Source organism: Homo sapiens, chromosome 1, assembly GCF_000001405.40.
Source record: "Homo sapiens chromosome 1, GRCh38.p14 Primary Assembly".
NCBI classification, from domain to species: Eukaryota; Metazoa; Chordata; class Mammalia; order Primates; family Hominidae; genus Homo; species Homo sapiens.
The window spans coordinates 229,201,523-229,222,075 of NC_000001.11; the positions used below are offsets into that span (position 1 = coordinate 229,201,523).

The 20,553-nt window shown below is 43.6% G+C and overlaps 4 annotated features.

The window, feature by feature from the left end:
* Positions 1,666-2,303: an enhancer, noted in NCBI's record as "OCT4-NANOG-H3K27ac-H3K4me1 hESC enhancer chr1:229338935-229339572 (GRCh37/hg19 assembly coordinates)". NCBI's record gives its function as "activates a minimal SCP1, AML or CMV promoter by ChIP-STARR-seq in primed H9 embryonic stem cells {active_cell/tissue: H9 hESC(primed)}" and the evidence as "EXISTENCE:reporter gene assay evidence [ECO:0000049][PMID:30033119]".
* Positions 4,106-4,713: an enhancer, noted in NCBI's record as "H3K27ac-H3K4me1 hESC enhancer chr1:229341375-229341982 (GRCh37/hg19 assembly coordinates)". NCBI's record gives its function as "activates a minimal SCP1, AML or CMV promoter by ChIP-STARR-seq in primed H9 embryonic stem cells {active_cell/tissue: H9 hESC(primed)}" and the evidence as "EXISTENCE:reporter gene assay evidence [ECO:0000049][PMID:30033119]".
* Positions 19,418-19,919: an enhancer, noted in NCBI's record as "H3K4me1 hESC enhancer chr1:229356687-229357188 (GRCh37/hg19 assembly coordinates)". NCBI's record gives its function as "activates a minimal SCP1, AML or CMV promoter by ChIP-STARR-seq in naive and primed H9 embryonic stem cells {active_cell/tissue: H9 hESC(naive and primed)}" and the evidence as "EXISTENCE:reporter gene assay evidence [ECO:0000049][PMID:30033119]".
* Positions 19,920-20,419: an enhancer, noted in NCBI's record as "H3K4me1 hESC enhancer chr1:229357189-229357688 (GRCh37/hg19 assembly coordinates)". NCBI's record gives its function as "activates a minimal SCP1, AML or CMV promoter by ChIP-STARR-seq in naive and primed H9 embryonic stem cells {active_cell/tissue: H9 hESC(naive and primed)}" and the evidence as "EXISTENCE:reporter gene assay evidence [ECO:0000049][PMID:30033119]".

Genomic DNA, 20,553 nt, shown 5'->3' on the forward strand with positions numbered 1-20,553 from the left:
GCACTGGCAGGTAGCTGATATTTGGAAGATGAAAGCAAAGGATAAAGCATTATTCTTCTCTAACAGCAGTGGTTAGGTGTGTGATCAGATGGCAGACACAGGGTTTGTAGTGTCTAGGAGAGCTCCAGTGAGTTACCTGCCTTAATTCAGCAGATAGCCGACTTCCTAGAGGTAGCATCCTACAATTCTAGCACTTTCTAATTTCCTCAAATCCAACAGCTATTCTTGACTTTTGTTCCTCCAACATTTCCAACAATTTTGTAATTGCATCATTCTTTATATTAAACCTTTTTTCTACTAAAATAAAGAGTGGTTATACTATTAATAATTATGAGTGCCCTTTTTTTTCAGGAATAAAACTTGCTATAAGCAAACAACTGCCTTTATGATTCTATTCCATTAGTGTCAGGCTTCTTAGCTCCCAAATTACGTTGTAAAGTCACTGAGCCCAGGGACGGTGTCTTATATTCCACGTCCACAGCATCAAGTCTAGGGCTGGGCATGTAGCTGATTAAATAACATGAGGCATCCAGGTGCCCAAGTCTGTCACCTGTCATTCAAAAAATATTCAGTGATCTCTTTCTTAGGTCAGGCTCCCAGGAAACAGACACTCAGGATGGAGGTTTGCCTGCAGAAAGCTGACTGAGGATCAACACCAGCGGAGGACGAGAAGGAAGCAAGGGTGGGCAGAGGAAGGAGTTCAGCTTTGATGCAGCCACAACAAAAGCCACAAATGTCCCCACAAGAAGACCTGGAACTAAGATGGCCATTTAGAGGTGTCCCTTCCCACTTATTGGCAAGGTGATATTTATCCCCCGTCGACCAGCCATTGAATGTGGGCTGCCCCCAGGAAGGAGAGAGGGCCTTAAGTGAGGCTCTTGACCACTAAGGGCAACTCCTAGAAAGAGCTTCAGTTAAAAGCCTTGAGCCAGAGCTGTCAGCTACACAGAGTTCCATTAGCTGTGGGAATCAATGTTCAGTCCTAAAGGAGGGTGCTGCATGGCATACCGCAGAATCCACTAGAATCCCATCTAGGCATCAGGCACTATATAATAACTAGTAGGTTGAATTATACGAAATTGCTCGTGTTCAACTGGTTTTACCTCCAAAATAGGCAATCGTATATGATTTGATCTAATAACATTACTAAAGTCTGCTATATCTTACAAAATACTTTCATACAAATGGCTGTACTTGATCCTCATGTCAACCATGTAGGATGGGTGTTCTTATCAACAGTTTGTTATATCTGAGAAACCTAAGGCCCAAAGAGGCCTGGGGCCTTGCCCAGTCATACATCTGGTAACTTTGGAGCTTGTTTTAGACACAAATTCTGACTTCAAATCCAGCAGCCTTTTTCTCACATAATACATGGAGGAAAAAACGTCTGTGGCCTTGAATTTCTTTCTCTCATAAGTCTTACTGCCACATGACCTCAAAATGAACCAACCATGCATCATATCTCCCTTTTTCGTAGTTCTAACCAGACCCTCTCAGCCAAAGAAGATTCCATTCCCAGCTGGAAATGCTGTCTCGGAGCAGGAATGAAGAGCCTCTCTCATTGGAATTGCCCATGAGGACAAATGCACCCCCCACTTCCGCTATCTGTAGAATCTACAGTGCTCTTTGCACCTCTGTTATGCCCAGGGGAGGCCCATTTCCCTGAGGAGGAGAAGAGACTTCAAACTGCAAAAGCCTGGATCACAGCTGCTTTGAGAGGTGAATATATACATAACTTCCCATCACTAAGCAAATGAGCAATCTGCTTCTGGTCCTGGTCTTTCTCAGCTCCTGCTCCAACAGACTATGTCCTGCAGCGACACTAGAAAAACCACAACAGGTGGAGCAGGATTCTTGGGGAAACCCAACTGCAAAATGCATGAGCTGCATTGTTCATCTCAGGTGTTGTCAACTGCCCCAGGGTGGAATACACACAACCCCCATCTGGGTAGAGCAGAAAGCACACAAGGGTCTTTGGAAGCAGTTGGTTGCTAGAGGCCGGATAAAGCATTGTTCTGGAGTGCACTGTCTCCTCCAGGCCAATGAGAAGCAGTTTTTACACATGCCAGTAGCTTGGGGTTGGGTCTCAGAGGCCAACAACGAATAAGCCTTTACCTCCATGATGTCATTGCTTCCAATGTGGAATCTCATTGGCTGAAGGGCTTGTCACTCACTCACCAATGCTTTACAGGGATGGAATTCTGTGGAGTCCAAGGTTTTCTCACATAATGGGAGGCTCCCTTAATCCCTGGTTGAATTTGGCTGCTGTTTTTCTCTCCTACAGCTCAGTTCTGAATTATACACACAGCTTGTGGGTATCTTGGGGTTTTGTGCATTTTACTTTTACCAGCATATAAAAGCCCCTCAATTAGTAGTCTTGCCAAAACAGTAAATATTTTCTGGACATTAATGCTGCATAACTTTCAGAGATTCCTGCTGTTGTTTTTATTACCCCCATTTTGTCCGTGAGAAAGGACAGCCTGGAGCAGAAAAACTTCCCAGTCGCATTGATTCTAGGGTGAGAACTGTGAGCCTCAGGATACAGATTTTAAAAGCAGAAAGCAAAAAAAGGAGGCACACAGGTCTAAGCTGTGGCTCTTCCAGTATTTTCTGGGCTGCTGATCCAACGACTCCCACTTCACGTTGTGCATTAACTCTGCGGCCTGCTGCCCCACCCAGGCCTGTGCCCCCGACAGGGGCCTGTGTGCAGGACAGTATTGCAGGAGAAGCGTGTTTTAGGGCCAGTTGCATGATCTGGAGCAAGTTAGCATGCCTGTGTGAACTCCAGCTTCCACACTGTAAAATGAGCCTAACAGGGTCTCCCTGACAAAGCGGTTGCCAGGACTAGAGGAGGTCACTTGCCTGAGTCCCAAGCACAAAGTTGGTGCTCAATAAACAGCAACTGGCTTCAGGGTGGTGTCTGTCCCAGACAAATGCTCTTCAGGGGTGCTGAGGGTTCCTCCAGTCCATAACAGGACAGCAGAGAGTGCCTGCAGGAGACTGTGGCGAGGTGGCTTCCTGGTGCTGGCCTCGGGCAGAGCGGAGGACCACTTATCCAAGAACACAGACTCAGAATTGCCCATGTGAACGTCATAAGTTTCTCCAGGACAGTGGGGCCCCACCAGCGTGGGGGTCACACTTCTTACAAAGGTTGTATGTGGAACACACTGTTTTCCATCCAAGCAATGTGCCAGCCAGAACTTCACTGAGTCAGCGGCCTGGGGAACTGGAGACATTTCTCTTCTCTGGCACATATGGGGGCTCCCTACACTTGAGAGAAGTGGGAAAGGAGTAAAGAAAAAAATTCCTGGACTTTTATAACCAAAAAATATACTTCTGTTTAGTGTGGCATTAGGTCTGGACACCAGAAAACCCACCAGGGATATGTGTGCTGGATGTGTACCTTTCATTTAACTTGAGGACAAAACGAGGCAACGTCATTCCAGAGAAGCAGTGCAGAGATAAGCCCCAGCCAGGGCCTTTTGGGAGAGGAAGGAGTGGGTGGAGGGGGGGCACTGCCTGGTGGGTGACGAAGGGGCTCCATGATCAAACACTGCAGTTCTCCCACTCTCTCTGCCTTTCCCCTCCCTCTGAGCCCCTTACCCAGTCACCAGTACAACTCCCCTGCCAGCCCCCCACCAGCTTATGCCACTCAAAGGAACAAAACAATGCTCACAGAGTCAGCTCAGATCACACAGTCAGCTCGGAAACAGGAAAGCCTGCTAGCTTTTTGCCCAGGGTGAAGGAGAAACGAAGTAGAGAGTGCAGCCTGGGCCCCACTGCTCCATATTCACCACCCGTCAGTGCTCAGGGGGCTGAAATGTGCAAATACAGCACCTCTCAGGCCGGGCGGGTACAAACCATAAGGACAAAGTGACGGCATGTCGCACTCAGCCTCTGAAACTCAGCTGAAAATTCTAGAATGCTCTCTTTAACACAATCATCTGAATGCTACGAAGGAGCTTTGGTAAGGTTCCCAAGTCCTATAATTAGTCATGCTTTGCTGCAAGGCTGTTTTCAATTTACAGCGCTGCTCACACTCAAGCATGCCCTCACATTTGGCACGTGTATATCTGAGTACCTTCTGCCTCTATAAATGTGTCTCTTAGAGGCTTACTACTTGAGAAGCTTAACTCCTTGCTCAGTGGAGACACAGAAATGCTGGCAGCCGGCTTAGGGGCTCTCCTCCACCGTAAGAGCCCCGTTTACTCCCCACTGTCCTGAGCACACAGGCTCTGTCATAGCCGTCACCCAAGCAATGAAGTAGTGCCTCTTTTTTTTCCCACAGATGAGGATTCTGATAGCTGGAGAAGAACTTTCAAGACAACACAAATGCTCAGTGCTGGAATTGCGATTTCAGCTTGGGCCTGTCTGGCTTCTTTTCTGCTACATTACCTCAAATCCAGAGATGGAGCAACGGTTGCTCCTTAACGCTCTATCACCCAGCCTCCCTGGGGAGCACAAATCCTGTTTCCAAGCCAGGCTGGGACTGGATGGAGAGCCACTCAGGGCTCTCCCACTTTGCAGCAATTATGGGTAAACCATGACTTGCGAACAGCTCCCCTTCCACACTTCTGTCACTGTTGCTGACATGTGAGTGGCGGCCATGCACCAACCAGAGGGCCAGCTGGGCGAGCTGCAGTCGCTGGTGCGTCCCCTGGCCTCTGCATCAGCAGCAGGAGAGAGCCCTTTAGATGGTCTGAACCAAGTGTCCCCTTCCCTCCTCCTTATCGTCTTTGGCTGAATTTCCCCAAGGTCTTCACTCACCTCAACCCCCAACCCTAAGCATCCCCTCCTGGCACACTCCTGCAGTGGCCAATATGCTCAGACCCTTCGCCAAGTCTTGAGCCTGGCTCTGAATTCCATAACTCAAAAGGTAGGTGGACAGCCCTCCTCAGCATTCTGTGGTTGACATAAGTGCCCACCAGGCCCTCCACCTTGATGAGCTGAAGAAGGAAGCCAGTGAGATGCTTCCTACACCAAGAGATGGGGCATGAGAGGCTCTCACAGTGCAGGCCTGGCAGCAGTGCAGATTTCTTACAGGGCATCTGCCCCTCTTCTCTCTGGACCCTGAGCAGCTCTCACTGGAACCATTGCCAGGAACAGCCAGGGTTTATCATTTCAAACAACCAACCTTCACCCCTTCACTGAGCATCAATCACAGACTCAATGCTGCATAGGAGGTACACTGACCCTCAGCTGGCCTGTTAACCTGAATTTAAGAGAACATGTAGGCCAAGGCAGGAGAATTGCGTGAGGCCAGGAGTTCGAAACCAGCCTGGGCAACATAGCAAGACTCTCATCTCTACAAAAAATCTAGAAAATCGGCCAGGCGTGGTGGCATATGCCTGTAGTGTCAGCTACTCAGAAGGCTGAGGCAGTAGAATCACTTGAATCCAGGAGTTCAAGATGACAGAGAGCTATGATTGTACCACTACACTCCGGCCTGGGTGATGGAGCAAGACTCTGTCTCTAAAAGAGTGAGAGCGAGAGAAAGAGAGAGAGAGAGAGGGAGGATGCAAATCACTAAGCGCATGTGGACAGGAGCTCTGCAGCCCACCAGGTGAACTTCCAAGGTAGACTGGCTGAATGAGCAGCAAGTCTCCTCAGACACTCAGCTGTGGCCCTGCTCCTCCCTCTAGGCAGACATTAGTTTCTGCTGCAGAGAATAACAACACACAGTGCAAGATCACCACGTTACAGCTTTTCCCAGGGCAGAATGTTGCATGCTGGGTGCCACAGAAGAACAGCCTTTCCCTCCCATCTATCAGAGCATGAATATCAAACATTGATCTTGTCCTCTCCTTGACCAGGATAATTCAATTCTGTTCTCAATGTTGGCTCCACTTCAGCCTCTGGAAGGAACTTCATCATGGACTGTCGGATCCAGCCAGCAGGCACTGGAAGTGCCAAGGATCTAGGTCATGATGTTTTTTCTATGGAGATGCTGCAGCAATTAATTCCTGGTCAGACCCCTACTAAAACCACAGGAAATCACTGCCATCTTCAGTGTACTGGACTGTGAATGGCACTCATGTAAAGGTATTTTGCTGAATTCTATATGGTTCTACACATAATAATTCTAATTTATTACACTCTCAATTCCCCAGCAGCAGAGGTGGCACACACTTGCCGAGTGTCAATGCAATGCTGATGGTTGCCCAGTGACAATGCAAATTAAGGATGAACTCCAGCCTTCTAAAGATTCTACCATGTCATCTACAAGTCCTTCCTAAAGAGTTTTCCTTAAATGAGCAAGACTCTTCAACCACTTTCCAAGTCTCTTGATTGTGGCCAAAAGACAAATTCCAGGAAGCCAAGGTGGGAAGATTGCTTGACGTCAGGAGTTTGAGGCTGCAGTGAGCTATAATTGTGCCACTGCACTCCAGCCTGGGCAACAGAGAAAGACCCCATCTCGAAAAAATGAAAAGAAAAGAAAATAAAATTAAGTGAAGAAAGGAGCTCTGGCTTCCATTCTCACCTCTAATTGGAAACAACGAAGAGAGTTTCCATAATGAGTCTGGGTCATTTCCCCTCCTTGTGGCGCATAGGTCTAGCAAGGAACCAGTTGGGCAGGATAGCTTATCAGACCTAACTCCCTTGTCCCCAGCTCTCTTACCTGACTGGAGCACCCTGCCTGCAGTTGGACATAGTGAAGTCACCAAGTCTAGGAATTATCTAGACACAGGGAGTTCTAAGTAATTTATTTATTTAACAAACATTTACCTAACACTTACTAAGTTCCAGGTCTCATCTAAGCACTTTACATGTGCTAGTTCCTTGAGCCTCAAAAGAGTCTTATTAGGTAGAGCCTATCATAGTCTTCATTTTAAAAATAATGGATCTCCTGTCACCACTCCTTTTCAATATCATACTGGAAGTCCTAGTTAATGCAACAAGAAAAAAAAGGAAATAAAAAGTATAAGAATAAGAAGAAAGAAATAAAACTGGTTTTGCTTGCAGATGACGTGATGTCTGTGTAGAAAATCTGAAAGAACAGAAACAACAAAAATCTGAAACTAAAACCCAACTATAGCAAGGTTGCAAGATACAAGATTAATATACAAAAGTCAATTGCTTTCCTATGACTCAGCAATAAACAAGTGGAATTTGATATTAAAAACATAATACTGTTTATAGTACTGTGAAGCAAGTTTACTGTGCAATGATTATTTGCCCAAGTCCAGTGAGACAGAACACTCATGCATGCAAGTTACACAAAACAGGTTTATTACTCACAGATAGGCAGTAAGGGACAACAGAAGCCTAGGATTCATGACAAGCCAGTCCCCCAAAGCTCAGAAAAGCTGCCCAGGGTAGATGAAGACTCGACTGCACGTGACCCCACTTGCACCACAGCCAAGGAACCCCAGAAAGCAGCCTACCTTGGGTTTTATCCTCCCCAAGGGAACACAACATGCTAGACTAAGGCACTGAAGGACATCCTGCTCTTAGGGGGAACAGGAACGAAGCCTGACTGTTCCAACCAGCTCCTCCTCATCTTGGCATGTTGTACTCCCAGCATAAGAACTCCCAGCATTGAGAACTCCAAACAAGAAAGGGGGAAGAACTGGGTCAGTCTGAGGCCATGTGAAAAACTTCCCAGCAATTAGCACCCTCCAAAATGTAACACTTAGGTACAAATCTAACAAAATATGTGCAAGATCTATCTGAGGAAAACTACAAAAAAAAAAAATGGAAAAGTGAGGCCAAGCTCGGTGGCTCATGCGTGTAATCCCAGCACTTTGGGAGACCAAGGCAGGCAGATCATGAGGTCAGAGGATCAAGACCATCCTGGCTAACATGGTGAAACCCCATCTCTACTAAAAATACAAAAATACTAGCTGGGCGTGGTGGCGGGCACCTGTAGTCCCAGATACTCAGAAGGCTGAGGCAGGAGAACAGCATGAACCCAGGAGGTGGAGCTTGCAGTGAGCCAAGATAGCGCCACTGCACTCCAGCCTGAGCAACACAGCGAGACTCCTTCTCAAGAAAAAAAAATGGAAAAATAAGGCAACGAGAGGTTGAGTCACTTGCCTAAGTTCACACAGCTTCTATCAGGGAAGGGGTGGGTGGGTAGGATATGAAACTACAGAGCCTGACTCTGACATCCGTGGTTATAACCCCATACCATGCTGCCTTGCTGGTGAGGTTTATAGGTATTTATGCTGTCCATGAAACAAAAAAGTCAAGCTTTTAAAGAATTAGTTTTATTATATTGAGAGGTATTGCTGAGAACAACAGACCAAGGCCTGTCAGACTGGCCCATCAGACTGCTCCGGTACAGTATTTCGGCCCACTGCTTATATACAGGTCCTGGGGGTTCAGGACATGCAAAATTGCATCAGATTTGCTCAGAAGTTACATTGAAGCAAAATCACATCAAAGTCTGGGTGTAAAAGTACATCTGGTTACAAATTACAGAAGCGTAACCACTAGCCTCGTCACTCCTTATCTTATGTGGAGGAAAAGGCAAGGACTAGGGTCATTTATCTTTTAAGGAATGTAGTGATTCAGGCAAGAGGGGTGGGGGACTGTGTGCTCTATCCTGTTTTGTCTTTAAAGAATCTTTCCAGAGAACTGAACCTCGTCACAGAGCCAGGGGCTTTGAGAAATTCTGCTGGCAAGCAGAAACTAGCAAACATGGCTTCTTACGCTTGCTACTTTGTCTCACCATGCCCAAGGCACCAAGGACTTAGACTCTACCCTGCTCTCCAGTGATTCTAAGCCATCAGGTATGAGAGCTGGGAAGGATGGCTGGATTGGTTCATCAAGCTCAGCATTCGCATTTAATTGATGAGGAAGCTGAGGCCTTCAGAAAGGAACTTCCCCGAGGTCACTACATAGCCACAGATCCAGTTTAGATCCTAGAAAGAGCACATATGCTTGCAGAACACCTGCAATGCTGATGAAACCCTTGTACTGGTGAGGTGGGCTTGGCTATAGTGCACTGACCACCAGTTCTGGAACCTCAATGGCTTAACACAACAAGAGTCTACTTCTTGGGTCAGGCACAGTGGCTCACGCCTGTAATCCCAGCACTTTGGGCAGCCAAGGTGAGCAGATCACCTGAGGTCAGGAGTTCAAGACCAGCCTGGTCAACATGGTGAAACCCCATCTCTACTAAAAATACAATAATTAGCAGGGTGTGGTGATGGGCACCTGTAATCCCAGCTATTTGGGAGGCTGAGGCAGGAGAATCGCTTGAACCCAGGAGGTGGAGGTTGCAGTGAGCCGAGGTAGTGCCATTGCACTCCAGCCTGGGTGACAGAGCAAGACTCTGTCTCAAAAAATAAATAAATAAATAAATAAATAAATATTTTTTGATCGAGTATAATCCAAGTCCAAATGTAGGCAGAGTGCAGAGAAGAGCTCCTCCACACACGGCACAGCCTGGGTTCCTCTGCCCTCCACCATCTCAACACATGGTCCCTGTTGCTCCAGATGAAGGAATGGAGCCTGGGAATGGGTTCAACCCTGTGGATTCTCTGCCCACATCCAACTGGCCAGAGCCCAGTCACATGGTCTCACCTTACTGCAAGGGAGGCTGGGAAATGTAGGCTAGGAAGAGTAAACTGAAATGAGAATTGGCAAACACTTAACAGTCTGCCCTTTATATACATTATCTCATTAAACCTTTGTAGCACTGTAGGGGAGCATTATCCCCACTTGTATAGTTGAGAAAACTGAAGCTCAGGGTGATTAAATAAACTGCCCCATCTTCACCATATTAGTGGATAGTGGAGTCACAATTAAAATTGAAGTCTTGGGACTGGGTGTGGTGGCTCATACCTGTAATTCCAGCACTTTGGGAGGCCGAGGCAAGTGGATCACTTGAGACCAGGAGTTCCAGTCCAGCCTGGCCAACATGGCGAAACCTTATCTCTACTGAAAATACAAAAATTAGCCAGGCACAGTGGCAGGCACCTATAATCCCAGATACTCAGGAGGCTGAGGTAGGAGAATCACTTGAACCCAGGAGGTTCAAGTTCAGAACCTCTGAACCCAGGAGGCAGAGGTTGCAATAAGCCAAGATCACACCACTGCACTCCGGCCTGGGTGACAGAACCAGACTCCGTCTCAATACATACATACATACATACATACATACATTTGAAGTATTTAGGTCTCCACAACTCTCTGTTCTTCGTACCACACCAAATGTGCTCTACATGAATTTCTTGACTCCTATCTTAGTATTCTTTTCACTACTCCATTCTACTATGTGAGAGTAAAGATAGACAGATGTATCCTCCCCAGCTTGTAGCCAAGGATGTTGCTATTCTCTCAAATGCTATAAGTGAGGGTATAAATTAGCAAAATGTCTTTAGAGAGAAGCTTGTTAATATCTATGAAAATTATAAATGTGCATATTTTTGAACTAGCAATTATATTTCCAGGAAATTCTCCTACAGATAAATTTTCAAAAGTGTAAAATGACATTTTGCATAAAAATATTGATTGAAGTATTGTCTGTAACAGCAAAAGAACTGAAAAAAAAAAGTCTGAAAAGAGGAGACTCCTAAAATAAATGCTGAAACATCCATTTAGTAAAATACAACAAAAACAATGCCCCCTTAAAAATAATGTGAGATGGCCAGGGACAGTGGCTCATGCCTGTAATCCCAGCACTTTGGGAGGCCGAGGCGGTCAAATCACAAGGTCAGGAGATCAAGACCATCCTGGCTGACATGGTGAAACCCCATCTCTACTAAAAAAAATTTTAAAAATAGTGGGGCATGGTGGCAGGCACCTGTAGTCCCAGCTACTCAGGAGGCTGAGGCAGGAGAATGGTGTGAACCCAGGAGGTGGAGCTTGCAGTGAGCCAAGATCAGGCCACTGCACTCCAGCCTGAGTGACAGAGCGAGACTCCGTCTCGAAAAATAATAATAATAATAATAATGTGAGCTGTCTCTACATGCCAACAGGGAAAATGTATGCTGCATGTGGATAAGTGGAAAAAAGCAATTATATATGACATTATTTCATTTGTGCAAAAAAAAGGAAGTATATGCATATATATGCATACAAAGTATTTGAAAGCATTCCCAAGAAAGCATTAAAAAGTAGACAATTCTGAAGAGTAGGATCAGGAGAAATTCTTACTTAATAACTTTTTTTTTTTTGAGACAGGGTCTTGCTTTGTCACTCAGGCTGGAGTGTAGCAGCGTGATCATGGCTCACTGCAGCCTCGACCTCAGGGGCTCAAGTGATTCTCCTGCCTCAGCTTCCCAAGTAGCTAAGACCACAGGTGCATGTCACCATGCCCAGTTAACTTTTTTTTTTTTAAGTAAAGATGAAGTCTCACTATCTTGCCCAGGCTGCTCTTGAACTCCTGAGCCCAAGCAGTCTTCCCACTTCGGCCTCCCAAAGTGCTGGGATTATGGGTGTGAGCCACTGCACCCAACCACTTAATAACTTTTGACTATTAATGTTTATGATAAGCACAAATTACTTCTATAAATGAAAGCACTATTTTAAAAATATGCTATTGTTGCCAGCTCTGTAACTGCATGCAATGTTCTGATTCAACCTGATATCTGACAATGTCTTGCAGGTATAATCTGAATATATATAAATTAAATATATAATTTAAATACATATATTTAAATTCACTCTGCTGATTGCCAAATGCAGAAGTGCCTAAGTCTCCTCCTTTGGTGAGTCTGGAATGGCTGTAAAGGACAGGCCTTGGTGGAGGTGAATTAACACATTTCCACATCAGCTACGTAGGAGCTCACCCAACTGCTCTGCAGATTAGCTGCCGCTGGCTCACACTTTCTCCTTGGACATCTTCAGGACAGCCCCAAAGCTACCAGAAACACTCGGAACTTGACTTAAAAAGAGCCTTGAAGCCCACGTCAGCTTCACAACGGCCCAAACCTATGCCAGAGCTTTCTGGAGCAATAACTACATTAAAGGGGATTGATGTATATACACTCACACACATATCTGCATGTATTCATGTGCTATATGCTGGGCACTACACTAAGACATTTAACTACAGTATTGAGGAATTATAGACAGGTTAGCATTGCCTAATTATAGAGAGATCTGGAAACTAGCTGGTGAGCCCTGTTTTGATGACAGTGGAAGCCTATGGCTAGGGAAGTGATATGGTGTGATGAGAGTACCCTTTGGGGAAGCTTGATTCTGGCTGTGGCCTGCAGTGAGCTGTGGGCAAGGAGGAAAGAAGGAATCTATTGGTTCTGACAATGAGAAACTGATCCCATGGTTTAAGAAAGTCATCAAATGTGTTCTCCTCTGCCAAGGCCCCAGGCCAACAGGCATATAAAAAGTATAATAATTCAGACTATACGAAATGCAATAATTCATTAAATAGGAAGAAATAGATCTCTAATATAAGTAACGGACTATAATGAATAGGTTCTTGTGTTATTTTATAATTCAACTGGTAAAAAAAGAATGCATCACTGAACTCACTGGAAAAATATTTAAATTTTGTGCTGATTTGACACAAAATAATGGCATTGATGAAAATAACATAAAACTCCTAACACATCATACAACTAGAGAGATATCCATGACAAATTGGTTAATAAGTTCTGCCAAAATAAAAAGTACTCAACATTAGCCACTGCACAAGAAAACTCAAACTGACCAGTATAAAGAATTTACTGTATGAATAAATATTAAAACAGAAAAAATTAATTTCTAATGATTCAAATGCTCACTCAGTGTGCTTATTTCACAAATAAGAAATTCAGTAAGGTGACTGCTTTTAAAATTAATATGGAGAAATAATTAATTCAATATCCTTCAATGAATGCAAATCGCAACCAGTTAGAAGATAAAGAGTAATTCACAATTTAAAAAAAGAAGGAAAAAATACTTAGAAATAAACTCAACAAGAAAATATTAAGATCTATATGAAATAAAAACTTTAAAATGTTACTATTGGGGCCACGTGCAGTGGCTCACGCCTGTAATCCCAGCACTTTGAGAGGCCGAGGCAGGCGGATCACCTGAGGTCAGGAGTTCAGGACCAGCCTGGCCAACATGGTGAAACCCCGTCTCTACTAAAAATACAAAAATTAGCCTGGCATGATTGTGGGTGCCTGTAATCCCAGCTACTTGGGAGGCTGAGGCAGAAGAATCGCTTGAACCTGGGAGGTGGAGGTTGTAGTGAGCCAAGATTGTGCCATTGCACTCCAGTCTGGGTGACAGACGGAGACTCTGTCTCAAAATAAATAAATAAATAAATATAAAAAGTTACTACTGGACACATAAAAAAAATCCTGAGCAAATAATAAGACATATCATATTCATAGAGTGGAAAACACCATAAATGTCATTTCTCCCTAACTTACTCCATAAGTTAATAGCCCATAAATAAACTATCCCTATAAAATAATGAGATTTTTTAACTAGATAAGCTGATACTAAAAATCATATGTAGAAATAAACAAGCAAAGTAGTCAGGAAATTTCTGAAAAAGAAGAGTAATAATGGGTCATCCCGGACAAACATTGACATTATACAACTGATCATTGAAATGGTATTCATGAGAAACACACAGGCAGATAAATGGAACAGAATAAAAAGCCCATAAATAAACACAAGCATAAGAGATAATTTAGTATATGAAAAGGGTAGCACTTCAAATCAGTGCATAAAAGATGGTGTTAGAACAATTGGATAACCATTGAGGGGTAAAAATGAAGTTGAATTCACACCTCACATCTTACACCAGGATAAATTTAATACGGATTTAAATTTTTAATATAAAAAATTAAATCAGAAGTGTTAGAAGACTTGATGGGATATTTTTAAAATAATCTTGCTATAAAAAAAATCTAAGTGCAAAACACAACAGAAGCCACAAAAAAAAGACTGATCCAATCAACTATATACATTTTTTTTTAAGTTTGTAGGGCAAACCAACATAAGTAAATCTAAAAGACAAATGACAAACTAGAAAATACATTTGCATTCACGTCATTAACAGAGAGCTAATTTGGCCTAATACATAAAAAGTAAAGTAAACAAAAAGAAAAAAAAAAAAAAAAACTAGAACCCAATAGAACAAATAGGAATGGATATGGGGGAAAAACAGTTCCTTCAAAAGAAAATGAAAATAGATTTTAAACATAAGAAAGAATGTTGAAATCCACTTGTAATAAGAGGAATGAAAGTTAAAATTTCAATGGGACTCCTCTTTTTTTACCTGCAAGATTGCAAACATAAAAAATGATTATTATGGTGGCAAGGGTTTGTAAAATGTGAACACATAGATTGTTGATGGACGTGTCAGTTAGTACCTCCATGGTGGACAATCTGGCAATATTCATCAAAACTACCAAGCTCCCCCTGTAATCTCAGCACTTTGGGGGGCCGAGACAGGTGGATCACCTGAGGTCAGGAGTTCGAGACCAGCCTGACCAACGTGGTGAAACCCCGTCTCTACCAAATCTACAAAAATTAGCTGGGAGTGATGGTGAGCCCCTGTAATCTCAGCTACTCAGGAGGCTGAGGCAGGAGAACCACTTGAACCCAGGAAGCAGAGGTTACAGTGAGCTGAGATGGTGCCACTACATTCCAGCCTGGGTGACAGAGCGAGACTGTGTCTCAAAAAAAAAAAGACCAAAGCTCATATCCTCCTGCACCCAATAGTTCTACTTCTAGGAATGTAACCTGCAGTTATACTCGTATGTACGTTACAAAGGGAAAAGTTTGGAAATGACCTAAATGACCATTAATCAATTAACTAAATTATAGCTGTATATACACCATGGATACCATGCAGTCACAGAAGAACAAGATCCCTCATGATAGGGAATGATCTCCAAGAGATATTTTTAAATTGATGAAAGAAGCAAAGTACTAAACGGTATCTAAAATACACTAGAATCTTTTTTAAAAAAATGAAGAAAAATATATGCCTTAATAGAGACTATCTCTGGAAAGACACAGAAGAAATGAGAAGCATTGGTTGCCTCTGGGAGAAGTCATGACTGGGAGGCAGGAATGGCAGGCGCACTATTCCTTGGGTCCTCTTGGATAACATTGATTTTTCTTTTTTTTTTTTTTTTTTTGAGATGGAGTATCACTCTGTCGCCCAGGCGGGAGTGCAGCGGCACGATCTTGGCTCACTGCAGCCTCCGCCTCCCAGGTTCAAGTGATTCTTCTGCCTCAGCCTCCCGAGTAGGTGGGACTACAGGCATGTGCCACCATGCCTGGCTAATTTTTGTACTTTTAGAAGAGATGGGGTTTCACCATATTGGCCAGGCTGGTCTCGAACTCCTGACCTCAGGTGAGCCGCCCGCCTCGGCCTCCCAACGTGCTGGGATTACAGGTATGAGCCACCGACCCCAGCCTGATTTTTCAACTATACAAGTGCATTATCTACCCAACAAGTAAGTGTTAGAGAAAAATAAACAAATAAGAAAGAAGTAAATGCAGTCCCTTCTGGAGAAGAGAGGAGGAAGAATTGAGACTTTGCATGGAGCCAGAAGAGGAAGCCTGGAGGTGACAGTGAAGAGGCGTCCCCCACCCAGCCACAGACAGTGACCACCAGGGAACAAAAAGAGGAAGGCTGTAGCTGTTCTGGAAACCTGATGATTCCAAAGGTGAGATGGGAGGGACCTGAGAGTGGATTTCCAACTATTTCTCTCGTGAGGCCTTGAGATAAAAGCTTTGAGTTATTTTATTAGTAGTACTATTATTACTATTATTATTGGGACCCACAGTTTGATTTTTATCTGCAGAAAAATACATTCTCTGATAGTCAGGAATTCCCTCCCCAACCTCGCCATCTGGAGCCAAACTTTCTAAACGCTATTTCCCATTCACTTCTTCCCTTCAAGAAGGCTTTATGACAAGTCAAGGCTCTGTTTCCCATTCTCCTAGTCAACTGTGAGATCCAGACCTGGGCTGAGCTCCATAAAACAAGGGGGGCTCTATCTGTTCTTGTACTTAATCTTATTCTCCATGCCCTGCAAAGTGCCTGGTACACACATGGCATTCATAAAATGCTGGTTGAACAAACAGAAGAATAACTTCAAATACCTTGCGTGCTCCTCTCTCCCACCTCATTCCCATCTTTCCCTTTACTTCGTACTCTTTATGTGAATGCCCTGATTCCTGGGTCTTTCCTTGCCAAACACATCATTTAGGGATGGTTATACCAGGTCGGCAGCAGCAGCGGCATCACCATCGTCACCTCCACCACCTCTGGATCACTCCCTTGTTGTCAGTAACATTACTTTGGATTCCTGGGAAGATCGAATGACTACCAGACCATCTCTGAGGACACCATGCCTGCTGTGTCAGTGAAGAGACCCAGGGAAGAGCAGGGGACTTTAGCAAACATGGGACTGTCACTGGGTCTAAGTAGGTGACTTAATCCTAAACCGGACTCAGTTCCTGCCTCAGCAGGGTTGACTCAGCATCGAGTCTGCACGGGACAAGCATGACCAAGACCAGCCAGGAACAACTGTCATCCTACCACTCGCCGAGACTGTGTACAAACAGTCCACTGCCTGGAGGAGGCAGTGGAGATGCTACTTCCTGAAGTCACATCTACCGACCATCTGACTCAGAATTCCCTGAGGCGCTTGTGGAAAATGCAGATCCTCAGGCTTCACCCCATACCTCCTGGAGCGGACTGCCACAGTGGAACCCCTGTGTCTGTGTTTTAAACTCCCGGGAAATTCTAACACAGACAGCTGGGAAATACACCCCAAGAAACATGTCCCTAAGAAGTCCATATCTTTTGTCATTTTTTATTTTGAGATAATTTTAAACTTTAGAGAAGAGATTCAGGAATAGTACAAAGGACTCCCGTATCCCCTTCACTCACCAATTATTGACATTTTGCCGAATTTGCTTCCTCTCTCTCCAAATACATATACATATTATTATATATATATAGTCTTATATATATATATTATATATATATAGTCAACATGAAATAATCAAAGGGATCAGAATCCAGTTTTAAAGAGTTTATTCAAGCGCAAAGCTGAGAATGGCCATTCAGGTAACTGAACAAAACAGAAATAGACCCCACAGAAACGGGGTGAGCTCTCTGAAGTTAAAAGCTGTCTTGCTTATATAGGCAAAACAAAGTTTAGTAGGACTATGACATTTTCCATACAAGGCTGGATTTATGAGTTACAACAATTTAATTAGTTACAGTTTGTTTTCTTTTCTGTATAGCTTGTTTTCCTTTCCAATTTAAAAGAGCATATAGCATCCTGTCTTTGACAATGTAACAGCATACAGTCTTTGTATGAGAGAGGAGAGGGAGAAGTTAATCTATAATGAAGATTAACAGTTAAGTTACTTCTACAGAAAGAGAAGCAGCACCCGAAACAGCAAGGTCAACTATCATTTACTGAGCCAGGCACTAAGTTTGTTAAGTGTTTTCTTTCTTTCTCCTTCCTTCATTAGTTCCTTCCTTCATCCTTTCTTCCTTCCTTCTCTCTCTCTCTTTCTTTCTACTTTTTTTTTTCTACTTTCTTTCTTTTTTTTAACTTTTTTGAGACAGGGTCTTACTCTGTTATGCAGGCTGGAGTGCAGTGGCTCCATCTGAGCTCATTGCAACCTCTGCCTCCCAGGCTCAAGCGATCCTCCCACCTCAGCCTCACGAGTAGCTGGGACTACAGGCTAAGTGTTTTCTGTACATTCTGTCATCTAGCCTTCAAAACCAAAATCACAGAGGCTATTATAAATAAATTTTTTAAAGCCCCAGACAATAACAAGTGTCGACAAAGGTGTGGAGAAAACTGGAAACCTTGTGTGTTGTTAGTGAAAATATAAAATAGTGCAGTCACTGTAGAAAACAGTATGTTAGTTCTTTAAAAAATTAAACATAGAATTACTCCATCAAGTTTGGATATCCTGAGTAGACATCCAAAGGAATTGAAAACAGGGACTTGAACACGTATTTGTACACTCATGTTTATAGCAGCATTATTCACAACAACCAAAAGGGGAAACAACCACATGTCCATCAGCAGATAAATGGATAAATAAAATTGTTATGTCCATACAATGGAATATTATTCAGCCTTTAAAAAGGACATTCTGATACATGCTACAACCTGGGTGAGTGTTAAAAACGTTATGTTAAGTGAAATAAGCTAGTCACAAAATAATAAATACTGTAAGATTCCACTTACATGAGGTACCTAGAGTAGTCAAATTCATAGAGATTCAAAGTAGAATGGTGGTTGTCAGGGACTGGGGAGAGTGGGAAATGAGGTGTTACCATTTAATGGGTACAGAGTTTCAGTTTTGGAAGACGAAGAGTTCTGTGGATGGATGATGATGATGGTTTACAATAATGTGAATGTACTTAATCCTACCGAACGGTGCACTTAGTGTGAAAATAGAAAATTTTGTGTTATAAAAATTTTGCCTTAACAAAACAAATCCCACAAGTGAGGTGCTATTATTTTGCAGCTGTAGCAACCAAGGCACAAAGATTGTGGTGCAAGTGAGAAGCAGAAAAAGCATTCTCACTGGGCAGCTGGACTTTAAAATCTGGGCCCTATCTATTATCATATACCTTATGCTATCAATCATCAGCCGTCTACCATCCACCATCTACCATTCACTGTATTCCATATGCCATTCATCATATACCACATATACCACCTGCCATATGCCATATACCATCTGCCATCCATTATCTACCATTCATCATATACCATATATCATCTCCCATCTACCATCCACCATCCATCATACACCACCCACCATATGCCATCTGTCATCTACCATCCACTATTATCCACCATATTCCATATACCATTCATCATATATCATCTACCATCTACCATCCACCATCCACCATCTACCATTCACCATGTACTATCTACCATCCACCATCTACCATATTCCATATGCCATTCATCATATACCACCTATCATCCACCATCTACCATCTGCCATCTACCATCCACCATCCTCCACCATTTACCATGCACCATCTACCATATTCCATATACCATTTACCACATACCATGTATCATCCATCATCTACCATCTACCATCTACCATCCACCATCCACCATCATGCACCATTTACGATGCACCATCTGCCATCTACCACATACCACTGCCATCTGCCATCCACCATCCATCACATACCACCCACCATCTACCATCTACCATCAATTGTCTATCATCAACCATCTATCATGTACTATCCACCATTCTTCATCTACCATCTGTCATATGCCATTCACCATCCACCATCTACCATATACCATGTACCATCCAGCATATACCATCTACTCTCTGTCATCCACCATCTACCATATACTATCAACCATCTAATATCTACCATCCACTATCTACCATATACCATCTACCATCTGCTACATACCATATGCCATCTGCTTGGTAGAAACTTCCCCTTCGGGCACTGATGAAAGCTAAGTGACCTAAAAGAGTTGGCGTGGCCTTTCCAAGGTAGCTGGTTACAATCAGAGACTAACCCTCTACCCTAATCAGTTGTAATATGGCCACAAATTAGTAGTTGTCTAACTCTATCTACAATATGAAAGGGAATTTGAACCCAGAACTTACAAAACCAAAGTAAAGTCTAAGAGTTCTTCAATTGATTCGATTCTCTGATTTCCCAGATTTCAGTGAGGAGGCAGCTGCCAGCCCTGTCATTTCCAAATTGGTTTTCCCATTGGATACATCCACCCAAGGCCCATCTGGTAGTTACTGAAATGTGTCACAGGGGCAAACAACCAAAGGAAAATAATCATCAGAAAGCAACAGAAACACAAGTGTTTCAACCCTGATGAAATAGTCTTCCCAAGGCTATTTATACTGCGTCATCTTCAAAAGGTCACCAGGCACTGGATGACTTCATCTATTTACCTTGATTGAGCACAAAGTCCATGTCCTGCTTGTGGCAGTGGCTGCCGTCCCTGCCCCACACTCACCCCCACGACAGCCATGTTCCTGCTCATGCCCACCCTCCTCCACCCCACACTCACCTAGAGGAGGAAGGGGCCAGGGAAGCCTGCCACATCTGTCAAGACAACCTCCCATGCAGGGTCACAGCAGCAGGTAGCTAGTTTAAATTGTGGTATTTACAACCAAATGAAAGAGGTAAGGAGTCAAGTGGAGATCACTGGAAAGTAAACACTGCAAAACCTCCAAAACCAGAAGCCCAGAGGCACATTTTCTTTGGCAATAGGCCAACTATTTGTTCCTTTGGCAAGTGTGGGGTTTATTTAACTAGAAAAAGAGAGCCTGATTTAATTGTGTGCATGCATGTGTGTGTACATACACACACGGAAGGGGGGTGGTAACGGGGCTCCTCCAGCTAGTCAGAGTTTCTGCTCTCTTATGTCAGAAAACAGGCCAACACTCTGAAGTCAAAGTCAATTACTGAACATGGGTGTGCTCTTCCTCTTTATTTGCATTTCTGGAAAGGAAGGGGAGAAGGGGTATAAGTAATCATTGTTAAATGTCTGCTCTGACTGGATAGACGCTAGGCCAGTGGATGTTTACAGCAACAGCCCTCTGTTAGAAACACATTTCTATTGCAGCCCCGTACACACA